This window comes from Homo sapiens, chromosome 7, assembly GCF_000001405.40.
Source record: "Homo sapiens chromosome 7, GRCh38.p14 Primary Assembly".
Classification (NCBI taxonomy): domain Eukaryota; kingdom Metazoa; phylum Chordata; class Mammalia; order Primates; family Hominidae; genus Homo; species Homo sapiens.
Window position 1 is genome coordinate 74,310,495 of NC_000007.14, and position 12,475 is coordinate 74,322,969.

Consider the following 12,475-nt stretch of genomic DNA (forward strand, 5'->3'; position numbering starts at 1 on the left):
CTGGGTGACAGAGTGAGACCCTGTCTCAAAAATAAAAATAAAATTAAAATGAAAAACAGCTGCCCTACTTTTGTTTGTACAGGCACTGGTTGATGGAGATTTTACTTTTGGGCTGTTATGAGTAAAGCTGGTATGAACACTTGTTTATAAAACTTTCTATGGACACATATTTTTGCTTCTCTTGGGTGGTTGGGTTATATGGGAGGTGTATTTTTAACTTTCTTTTTTTTTTTTTGAGACAAGGTCTCACTTTGTCATCCAGGCTAGAGTGCAGTGGCACAATCTTGGCTCACTGCAACCTCTGCCTCCTGGGTTCAAGCGATTCTTGTGCCTCAGCCTTCCAGGTAGTTGGGACCACAGGCACACGCCACCATGCCCTGCTAATTGTTTTTGGATTTTTGGTAGAGATGGGGTTTCGCCATGTTGCCCAGGCTGGTCTCCAACTCCTGGGCTCAAGCTATCTGCCTGCCTCGAGCTCCTATTTTTAACTTTTTTTTTTTTTTGAGACGGAGTCTTGCTCTGTTGCCCAGGCTGGAGTGCAGTGGTGCGATCTCAGCTCATTGCAAGCTCTGCCCCCTGGGTTCACGCCATTCTCCTGCCTCAGCCTCCCGAGTAGCTGGGACTACAGGTGTCTGCCACCACGCTCGGCTAATTTTTTGTATTTTTAGTAGAGATGGGGTTTCACTGTGTTAGCCAGAATGGTCTCGATTTCCTGAACTCGTGATCTGCCCGCGTCAGCCTCCCAAAGTGCCGGGATTACAGGCATGAGCCACTGCACTCGGCCACTATTTTTAACTTTTTAAGAAACTGCCCAACTGTTTTCCGAAGTGATTGTACCATTTTTTATTTCCACCAACACTACGAGCATTTCAGTTGTTCTGCATCCTCATCAGCACTTGGTATTGTCAGCTTTTCAAATTTTTAGCCATTTCCCTTGATGGGAAGTGGTATCTCTTGTTTTGATCTGTATTGCCTGGATGAGTAATGATGTTAGTCATCTTTTCATGTGCTTATGGGCTGTTTGTATATCTTCTTCGGTGAAATGTATATTCAAACCTTTCACCCATTTTTAATTGGGTTGTTGTCTTCTTAGCAAGTTGCAGAGTTCATTATGTTTCCTGAATACCAGCCCTGGCTGGGCGTGGTGGCTCACACCTGTAACCCCAGCACTTCCAGAGGCAGAGGCAGGAGGATTGCTTGAGCCCAGGAGTTTGAGACCAGCCTGGGCAATGTAGCTAGACCCAGTCTCTACAAAAAATAAAAAACAATTAGCCAGGCATGGTAGGGTGCACCTGTAGTCCTAGCTATCCAGGAGGCTGAGACGGGAGGATTGCTTGAGCCCAGGAGTTGGAGGCTGCAGTGAGCTATGATCGTGTCACTGCACTCCAGCCTGGGCGATAGAGCAAGACCACATCTCAAGAATAAAAAAAAAAAAAAAGAAAGAAAGAAAAAGAAAAGAATGCAAGTCGGGCCAGGCATGATGGCTTACACCTGTAATCTCAGCACTTTGGGAGGCTGAGGCAGGTGGATCATTTGAGGTCAAGAGTTCAAGACCAGCCTGGCCAACATGGTGAAACACCATCTCTACTAAAAATACAAAAATTAGCCAATGTGGTGGCAATGGGACGCCTGTAGTCCCAGCTACTTGGGAGGCTGAAACAGGAGAATCACTTGAACCTGGGAGGCGGAGATTGCAGTGAGCTGAGATTGCACCACCTGGGTGACAGAGCAAGACTCCGTCTCCAAATAAATAAATAAATAAAATAATGAAAGTTTGTTATTAGATACGATTTATAACTGTTTTCTCTGTGGGAGGGATTTTGGGCAGAGAAGAGGCCCTGGTGGGGGGGCGGGGGTCAGGAGGCGGAGGGAGTTCCTTGCACCTCACTTGAGTCTCAGCAATGCTCTCCCTTCTCTGCATCTGGAATTCCTAGGTGAGAGGGTCCCCCAGCTGAGCCACGGGAGCAGGAGGCTCATTTGGTCACCCACAAGGTGGGATATTTACTGTCACCAGAGACCATCCCCACTCACCTTTGCTGGCATTGGAAATGCTGACCCAGCCTAACCAAGCTCTCGGAGAGCTGTGCCCAAAGCTCACAGTCCGGCTCCCTCATTGAACAAGCCACCAGGAGGGCCAGGTTCTGAGGACGAAGGGAGCAGCCTTGTACCCCAGCATGATTGACTCCCGGCCCCCAGAATTCCCGGGGCACCAGGGGCGTTGGAATGTTGGATTTAGCAGCCCTGAGGGCCAGGGCTGGCAGGCATGCCCAGTGCTCTCGTGGGCGCACCCCGGCATGTCGGCTCCACTGCTGTGTGCCTGGGGGCAGCTTGTTTTCCTCTGCTCTTAAAACTGCCAGTCTGAGGGAGGAAGTGATCCTTCACTCGGATGTGCCAGGACAGGTAGTAGCATTGCTGACTCATCGGATGCCCTCACGCACATTCCTGACGCGAGCATTGTGGGTTGGCATCTGTATTCATCAGAATTTTTTTGGAAATGCAAATGACATTGTCCCTCAAATAGGTTTAGGAAAAAAAAAAAGGCCAGGTACAGTGGCACACACCTGTAATCCCAGCACTTTGGGAGGCTGAGGTGGGAGGATTGCTTTACCCCAGGAGTTTGGGACCAGCCTGGGCAACATAGTGAGACCCTGTCTCTACAAAAAACTTGTAAACTTAGCCGGGGCAGGGGATGGTGGTGGTGGCATGCACCTGTGGTCCCAGCTACTCGGGAGCCTGGGAGGTTGAGGCTGCAGTGAGCTGAAATTGTACCACTGCACTCCAGCCTCCAGCTGGAGTGGCTCACGCCTGTAATTCCAGCACTTTGGGAGGCCGAGGGGGGCAGATCATGAGGTCAGGAGATCGAGACCATCCTGGCTAACATGGTGAAACCCCGTCTCTACTAAAAAATATAAAAAATTAGCCAGGTATGGTGGCAGGTGCCTGTAATCCCAGTTACTCGGGAGGCTGAGGCAGGAGAATGGCATGAACCCGGAAGGCAGAGCTTGCAGTGAGCCGAGATTGCGCCACTGCACTCCAGCCTGGGCGACAGAGTGAGACTCCATCTCAAAAAAAAAAAAAAATGAAGAGCCCAAGTGGCCAGCTTCAGGCTCAGCTGGATCTAGGCCCTCCTCGGGACTCAGCTGTGCTGTCTCTGTGTTGGCACCGTTCCCTGGCAGGCTCTCCCATGCGGTAACCAGGATGGCCCCTGCAGCTTCTGGCTTCCATCCTACACCCAGGCAGCCCCAGAGCAGGGAGAATTCTTCCTAAAGGTTTCAGCCACAGCCTAGGCCCTGAGACGCCTCACCTGATCTTCTCTGATGGCCAGGCCTGCATTATGCATCCCCTCTAGGAGTGGGAATCGGGTCAACCCACATAAGTCATATGAACCAAGGATGGGGAAAATGTAGGCTGGGAGCAGTGGCTCATGCCTGTAATCCCAGCACTTTGGGAAGCCGAGGCGGTAGAATTGCCTGAGGTCAGCAGTTTGAGACCAGGCTGGCCAAGATGGCAGAAACCCCCTCTCTACTAAAATACAAAAATTAGCCGGGCCTGGTGGCGGGCGCCTGTAGTCTGACTTACTCAGAGGCTGAGGCAGAAGAATTGCTTGAAACCAGGAGATGGAGGTTGCAGTGATCCAAGATCGTGCCACTGCACTCCAGCCTGGGTGTCAAAGTGACTCTGTCTCAAAAAAAAAAAAAAAAATTGGGGAAAAGGGACCGGGTGCGGTGGCTCATGCCTGTAATCCCTGCATTGTGGGAGGCAGAGGTGGGAGGATCACTTAAGGTCAGGCGTTCAAGACCAGCCTGGCCAACATAGTGAAACCCCACATCTACAAAAAATACAAAAATTAGCCAGGCATGGTGGCAGATATCTGTAGTCCCAGCTACTCAGGGGACTGAGGCAAGAGAATCACTTGAACCCAGGAGGCAGAGGTTGCAGTGAGCTGAGATCATGACACTGCACTCCAGCTTGGGCAACAGAGTAAAACCCTGTCTCTAAAAATAATAATAATAACAAAATGAGTGAAGAAAAGGTTTCTTCAAAATCTGTGACCACAGATATGGCTGGACAGACAAGGGCATCTCCTGTATCAGAGATTTCCTGTGTTTCCGAGGTCCAGACATGAGGATGCTTTTGCCTGGAATCCTCCATCCGACTATGGTGCTCTGAATTTTCTCTCCCCATTGGACGGTGCTCCCCAGGGCAGAGGCCGAGTCCTGCCTGCAGCTCTGGGGCAGAGATGGGGCCTGGCTCATGGTGAGCCTTCTGGAAACATTGGGTGCAGGAAAGTTTGTGAGTATAGGATAGTGGGGAAGAGGCCTGGGGGTGGGGGGCTTGTCCACCCCTCCGGCCCCCTGCAGCCAGTCCCATCTTGCTGCCCCCTGACCCCCTAAACAGATAGCATCATGCCTGGAGGCTTTGCTCCTCTCCAGAGTCCCTTTTGTAAAGCGCTGGTGCTCCTATAAGCTCTTCTGTGCTTCATCATAAGGACACAAAGCTGGCCGGGCGTGGTGGCTCACGCCTGTAATCCCAGCACTTTGGGAGGCGAGGCGGGAGGATCACTTGAGGTCAGGAGTTTGAGAGCAGTCTGGCCAACATGGCAAAACCCTGTCTCTACTAAAAATACAAAAATTAGCCGGGCGTGGTGACGGGTGCCTGTAATCCCAGCTACTTGGGAGGCTGAGGCAGGAGAATGGCTTGAACCTGGGAGGTGGAGGTTGCAGTGAGCCGAGATGCTGTCACTGCGCTCTAGCCTGGGCGAGAGAGCGAGAGTCCGTCACAAAAATACATTTAAAAAAATAATAAAGACACAAAGCTTTTGATTCTGAGGTTACTGTACTAGCAAGCATCACACACTTTTTTTTTTTGCCATGATTAATATGTAATCTTTGCTTTTAGCCCTTTTAAAAATATTTTGTTTTTATTATTTGTAGAGAACAGGGTCTCACTATGTTGCCCAGGTGGGTCTTGAGTTCCTGGGCTCAAGTGATCCTCCTGCCTTGGCCCCCCAAAGTGCTGGGATTACAGACATGAGCTACCACACCTGGCCCTTGTTTTTTCTTTTTTTCTTTTCTTTCTTTTTTCTTTTTTTTTGAGATGGAGCCTCACTCTGTTGCCCAGGCTGGAGTGCAGTGGTGCGATCTCGGCTCACTGCAGCCTCCTCCTCCTGGGTTCAAGTGATTCTCCTGCCTCAGCCTCCTGAGTAGCTGGGATTACAGGTGCCCGCCAACATGCCCAGCTAATTTTTGTATTTTTAGCAGAGTTGGGGTTTCCGCCACGTTGGCCAGGCTGGTCTCAAACTCCTGACCTCAGGTGATCCGCCCACCTCAGCCTCTCAAGGTGTTGGGATTACAGGCGTGAGCCACCTCTCCCAGCCCTTTTTTTTTTTTTTTTAAATTTTAAATTCTGGGATACATGTGCAGGATGTGCAGGTTTGTTACATAGGTAAACGTGTGCCATGGTGGTTTGCTGCACCTATCAACCCATCACCTAGGTATTAAGCCCAGCATGCATCAGCTATTTTTCCTGATGCTCTCCCTCCCCCCGCCCCCACAACAGGCCCCATTGTGTTGTTCCCCTCCCTGTGTCCATGTGTTCTCATTGTCCAGCTCCGACTTACAAGTGAGAACATGTGGTGTTTGGTTTTCTTTTCCTGTGTTAGTTTGCTGAGGATAATGGCTTCCAACTCCATCCATGTCCCTGCAAAGGACATCATCTTGTTCTATTTTACGACTGCATTTTTTTGTTTTTGTTTTTGTTTTTGTTTTGAGACAGAGTCTTGCTCTGTCACCCAGGCTGGAGTGCAGTGGTGCCGTCATAGCTCACTGCAGCCTTGGCCTCTCAGGCTCAAAAAATCCTCCCACCTTTGCCCCACAAGTAGCTGGGACTACAGGCATGCGCCACCACGCCTGGCTAATTTTTTATTTTTTATTTTCTGTAGCGACAAAGTCTTGCTACGCTACCAAGGCTGGTTTTGAACTCCTGGCCTCAAGCAATCCTCCCACCTTGGCCTCCCAAAGTGTTAGGATTACAGGTGTGAGCCACTGCCCCCAGCCCTTTTAGGGCTTTTTTTTTTTTTCTTTTGAGACAAGAGTCTCACTCTGTTGTCCAGGCTGGAGTGCAGCAGCGTGACCTCGGCTTACTGCAACCACCGCCTCCTGGGTTCAAGTGATTCTTGTGCCTCAACCTCCCGAGTAGCTGGGACTACAGGCATGTGCTACTAAGCCTGGCTAATTTTTGTATTTTTAGTAGACACAGGGTTTCACCATGTTGGCCAGCCTGGTCTTGAACTCCTGACCTCAAGTGATCCACTCGCCTCAGCCTCCCAAAGTGCTGGGATTACAGGCATCAGCCACTGCACCTGGCCCCTTTTAGGGCTTTTAATGACCATAGTCAGCATGCAGCTCACGCTTTGAAAAGGTTTTACTCTGTCACCCAGGCTGGAGTGCCCTGGAGCTCACTGCAGCCTCAAACTCCTGGGCTCAAGCGATCCACCAGCCTCAGCCTCCCAGAGTGCTGGGATGACAGGCCACTGTACCCAGTCTAAAAGTGGTCTTTGTTGCAAACAGTTTGATGGATGCTCTTGGGATAGAAGATGAAACATCTTTCAATTGTAATAAATTTCTGCAACCAAATAAATAAAGACACAAAGCTTTAATGGTGGGAAGGCAGGCAGAGGTCATGGCTAGATGACGGCCTGGTGTGGAGTTGAGGCAGGTAACTGCACACCAGGATATAAGAGGGTAAGGCAATAGCCTCTCTGTGTGTTTGTCCTGCCCATGCAGTAGAGGGGGTGCGTGCTGGGATGGTGAGTCTGAGAGCGGGAATCTGGCCTGTGCGGCAACGGGAGCAGTGAGCTGATAGGTTAAATCGGGTGTTGCCTCGTCCAGCCCACCTCAGGAGGGATGTGTGTTGCTTGATGGCCCTTGAGGGTCTGGGGGCCATTGGGAAGTGATGATGTGATCTCTCCTGTCTCTGCCCGCAGGTGAGTGAAGATGGCAGAGAGGACGTGACCAGCACTCACCCTTGTCCACCTGCCCAGTGGCACCGCCATGCAGAAGCCCAGCGGCCTGAAGCCCCCCGGCCGTGGGGGGAAGCACTCCAGCCCCATGGGCCGGACATCTACTGGGTCAGCTTCATCCTCGGCGGCGGTGGCCGCTAGCTCCAAGGAAGGTACGTGGCACACCAAGGATGGGGGGTGAGGGGACTGGCTACATGGGATGAGTGTTCTTCTGGAAGAGCCCCAGGAGCACAGGCCACTCTGTGACCAATCTGATGGGGGACGCTGAGTGTCATGAGCTCCTGTAATGGGGCCTGATCAACACTGGGAGGTTGGCAGAGGTTTCCCCAGGGAGGGGACATGGGCGCTGAGGTCTGGAGGGTGAATAGGTGATTCACTAGCTGAAGAGGAAAAGGTTCAGGTACGGTGGCTCACGCCTGTAATCCCAGCACTTTGGGAGGCTGAGGCGGCTGGATCACTGGAGGTCAAGAGTTCGAGACCGAAACCAGCCTGGCCAACTTGGTGAAACCCCATCTCTACTAAAAATACAAAAATTAGCCAGGCGTGGTGGCAGGTGCCTGTAATCCCAGCTACTCGAGAGGCTGAGAGAGGAGAATCGCCTGGGCAACAGAGTGAGACTCTGTCTCAAAAATAAAAAAAAAAAGAGGGAAGAGTATTCCAAGTAGAGGGAACAGCACATGCAAATGCTCAGAGGCAGAAAGGAGCGTCATGCGTACAGAAGAGGGAGAGAGCGTGGGGGTGGCTGGGGCAGTCTGCTGCAATGCAGGTGGACCTGGGTGACTTGGAGGTGTGCGGGGAGTTTCATTTTCATCCTAATAATGAGAGCTACGGGAGGGTTTAAACCAAGATGAGTATGATGGAAGGAACTAGCAGCAATTTCTTACCTATTCTCTGCAGTTTAAAAAACTGTAATTGAGCTGGGCATGGAGGCTCATGCCTGTAATCTCAGCACTTTGGGAGGCCGAGGTGGAAGGATCACTTGAGGTCAGGAGTTCAAGACCAGCCTGGGCAACATGGGAAAACCCTGTCTCTGCTAAAAATACAAAAATTAGTCGGGCATGGTGGCGGGCGCCTATAGTCCCAGCTACTTGGGAGGCTAAGGCAGGAAAATCGTTTGAACTCAAGAGGAGGAGGTTGCAGTGAGCCGAGATCACACCACTGCACTCCAGCCTGGGCTACAAGAGTGAAACTCCATTTAAAAAAAAAATGACGATCGTTTGTTACTTATCACTTTGATAAATGATGCTGTGATGAACATCTTTGTGCACAAAGCCTGGCTTTGATGATACTCCAGCCAGCAGGATAGGTCACTGCCCATCTTATCTGATTGGTACAAAGTTTGGAGAGACAAACACAGCTGGGGCCAGACTGGACAACCTGGGTCCTGGGGAAGGGGGTCAAGGAAAGTTTGAGCCAAAATCATGGGCAGTTGGCAGGACAGGGTCCCTGGCAGAGCCAAATGGGCAGCGTGAAAGGGCGAGGAAGCTGCAGGGTGAGGCCCGTCGGCAGAAGCCCATGGGAAAGGCCTGCCCAGTGCAGCCTTGTGAAGGCCCAGGCTCTGCTCTAGGGTGGCAAATCCTCTCCAGCAGTGAGAAGCCAGACAAGAGAAAATTCGGGGGATGAGGTGGGGTGGGGAAGAGGTGTTCCACGTGGAGGGAATGGGTGATGCAAAGGCCCTGAGGCTGGAATGAATTTGATTTGTTAAGAAAGAAAAAGGCCGGGGACGGTGGCTCATGCCTGTAATCCCAGCACTATGGGAGGCCAACACTGGAGGATCACCTAGGTCAGGAGTTCGAGACCAGCCTGGCCAACATGGTGAAACCCCGTCTCTACTAAAAATACAAAAATTAGCGGGATGTGGTGGCACCTGTAATCCTAGCTACATGGGAGGCCGAGGCATGAGAATCGGTTGGACTTAGGAGGCGGAGGCTACAGTGAGCCGAGCTCATGCCACTGTACTCCAGCCTGGGCAACAGAACAAGACTCTGTCAAAAAATAAAATAAAATAAAGAAAGAAAGAGAAGCCAGCATGGTGGCTCACGCCTGTAATCCAGCACTTTGGGAGGCTGAGGCCAGAGGATCACTTGAGCCTAGGAGTTCCAGACCAGCCTGGGGAACATAGTGAGACCCCAGCTCTACAAAAAAAATTTTTTTAATTAGCCAGGCATGGTAGTGTGTGCCTGTAGTCCCAAGTACTCAGGAGGGTGAGGCAGGAGGATTGCTTGAGCCCAGGGGTTGGAGGCTGCAGTGAGCCATGATCACACCGCTGCACTCCAGCCTGAGTGACAGAGTGAGACCCTAAAAAAAAAAGAGAGAGAGAAAGAAGAAAAGTCTGGATGGAGAGGAGTGTGAAAAGAGGTTAGGGAGGGCAGCCAGGACAGATCTGAAGGACACAGGGTTTGGGTTTGTTTTAAGAGTGGTGGGGGCTGGGCACAGTGACTCAAGTTTGTAATCCCAGCTCTTTGGGAGGCTGAGGCGGGAGGATCACTTGAGGTTAGGAGACCAGCCTGGCCAACATGATGAAACCCTGTCTCTACTAAAAATACAAAAATTAGCTGTAATCCCAGCTACTCGAGAGGCTGAGGCAGGAGAATTGCTTGAACCCGGGAGGCGGAGTTTGCAGTGAACTGAGATTGCGCCACTGCACTCCAGCCTGGGCAATAGAGTGAGATTCCATCTCAAAAAAAAAAAAAAAAAAAAAGAAAGAAAAAGGAAAAAGAGCAGTGGGGGCCGGGCACAGTGACTCAAGCCTGTAATCCCAGCACTTTGGGAGGCTGAGGCAGGAGGATCGCTTGAGCAGTAGAGTTTGAGTCCAGCCTGAGCAACACAGCAAGACCTCTCATCTCTACTTAAAAAAAAAATTAGGCACGGTGGTGTATACCTGTGGTTCCAGTTACTTGGCAGCCTGAAGTAGGAGATCCGCTTGAGCCCAGGAGGTCGAGGCTGCGGTGAGTTTTGATCACACCACTGCACTCCAACCTGGGTGACCCAGCGAGACCCTGACTCAAAAACAAAACAAAAAAAGGATGGTGGGAGCGGCTGGAGGATACCAATGGAAGAGTGATGGGACCTTGTTCACATCCCTTGGGCCACTGTGCAGAGAACGGATTGTAGGGTTAAGAGCCAGGTGGGGATACCAGTGAGGAGGCTGTGGTTATCCGGGGGAGGGAAGGGCTCATTACCATGCGTGGGCAATCAGGGAAGACTTCCTGGAAGAAGCGTGAATGAGCTCAGCCTTGATAATGGGGGCAGGGCAGTGGGTGGAGTTTGAAAATGAGAAGAGGAGGAGGAGGAAGGATCTGCAGACAGTGGGGGAAGGTCGTGAGTCAAGGCACCCAGTGGGCTGAGCTTGGTCCAGTGAGGAGTGAGGCTGTGTAACCTAATGGCTAGAGAAGGGCACCCGCCCAGCCCAACCCTGGGGCTGGGGCATGGCGTGCAGCGAGAGAGTCTTATTGAACCTTCTGGGTACTTTCCCCTTTGTTCCTCCCCGATCTAGAGAGGCCCAAATTCTGGCTGTGATCCAGCTCTCATGCCCCTCCTAGCCCTGCTCCTGCTGTGTGACCCTGGGAGAGTGACCTAACCTCTCTGAGCCACAAATGGGATAATAGCATCTCCCTAATGGGATCAAGCGAGTTAATGAACATGGAGTGCCTGCAGGTAGAAAACTCATTAAAGATTAATTTCTTTCCCTTTCACCCATCCATCATCTCATTACAGGAAAATTTGAAAGTGATAAAAGAAAAAAACGTCCATTATCCTTTAACCTTCTCCCTTCCCCCTTACCACTTAACCTCATCACTGCACAGCCTAACCAGGATTCCGTGAAGGATGGACCATGTTTATCGTGGTCCCACAGGATTCTAACAGAGCTGAGCATTTCCTATTGCCGACATTGGCAGTTCCTGAGTTTTAGCCATTGTCATGTTGCAGCGCAATTACTTTATTTTATTTATTATTATTATTATTTTTTTTGAGATACAGTCTCGCTCTGTCACCCAGGCTGGAGTGCAGTGGTGCGATCTCGGCTCACTGCAACCTCCACCTCCCGGGTTCAAGTGATTCTCTGTCTCAGCCTCCCAAGTAGCTGGGATTACAGGCGCCCGCCACCACGCCAGGCTAATTTTTTGTATTTTTAGTAGAGACAGGGTTTCATCATCTTGGCCAGGCTGGTCTTGAACTCCTGGCCTTGTGATCCCCCCGCCTTGGCCCCCCAAAGTGCTGGGATTATAGGTGTGAGCCACCGCGCCTGGCCTTTATTTTATTTTTATTTTTTAATAAAAAATAAGCGTGCAGTGTTTATAAAGTCTGCAGTAGTGTACAGTCATCAGTCATGTCCTAGACCTTCACATTCACTCACTCACTCACCCAGAGCCGCTTCCAGACGTGCAAACTCCATTCGTGTTAAGTGCCCCAGACAGGTGTACCCTATTTTCTTTTCTTTTTTATTTTTATTATTTTATTTTATTTTTCCTTTTTTTTTTTTTTTGAGACAGAGTCTTGCTCTGTCGACCAGGCTGGAGTGTAGTGGCACGATCTCACGATCTCAGCTGATTGCAACCTCTGCCTCCTGGGTTCAAGCGATTCTTCTGCCTCAGCCTCCTGAGTAGCTGGGACTACAGGCATGTGCAACAACACCGGCCAATTTTTGTATTTTTTGGAGAGACGGCGTTTCACCATGTTGGCCAGGCTGGTCTCGAACTCCTGACCTCAAGTGATCCACTGGCCTCGACCTGCTAAAGTGCTGGGAGTACAGGCGTGAGCCACTGTGACCGGCCTCCATTTTTTAATCTTTTTTTTTTAAGAGACAGGATCTTGGCCAGGTGCTCATGCCTGTAATCCCAGCCCTTTGGGAGGCCAAGGCAGGCAGATCACCTGAGGTCAGGAGTTCGAGACCAGCCTGGGCAACATGGCGAAACCCCATCTCTACTAAAAATACAAAAAAATTAGCCTGGCATGGTGGTGGATGCCTGTAATCCCAGCTACCCAAGAGGCAGAGGTTTCAGTGAGCCGAGACCACACCACTGCACTCCAGCCTGGGCAACAGAGTGAGACTCCGTCTCAAAAAACAAACAGACAGGAGACAGGATCTCATTATATTGACCAGGATGCACCTCCTGGCCTCAAGCAATCCATCCTCACACCTTGACCTCCCAAAATTCTGGAATTACAGGCGTGAGCCACTACACCTGTCCCATTGTTTATCTTTGTTTTTTGCTGTTGTTGTTTGTTTTTTTGAGATGGAGTCTCGCTCTGTCACCAGGCTCAAGTGCAGTGGCGCGATCTTGGCTCACTGCAACCTTCGACTCCCTGGTTCAGGCGATTCTCCTGCTTCAGCCTCCCAAGTAGCTGGGATTACAGGCACACACCACCATGCCCAGCTGATTTTTGTATTTTTAATAGAGATGGGGTTTCACCATGTTGGCCAGGCTGGTCTTGATCTTCTGACCTTGTGAT

General features: G+C 50.7%; 1 protein-coding gene across 3 annotated transcripts in view; it reads left to right on the forward strand.

The window, feature by feature from the left end:
* Positions 1–12,475, forward strand: part of CLIP2 (CAP-Gly domain containing linker protein 2) — a 116,529-nt gene that overhangs the window by 21,088 nt on the left and 82,966 nt on the right. For all 3 annotated transcript variants that reach the window (NM_003388.5, NM_032421.3, XM_047420800.1), the window contains exon 2: positions 6,986–7,173. In NM_003388.5, the coding sequence (NP_003379.4) occupies positions 7,053–7,173 (121 nt within the window). In that variant the 5' untranslated portion in view covers positions 6,986–7,052. The remainder of the gene's footprint in view (positions 1–6,985; positions 7,174–12,475) is intronic.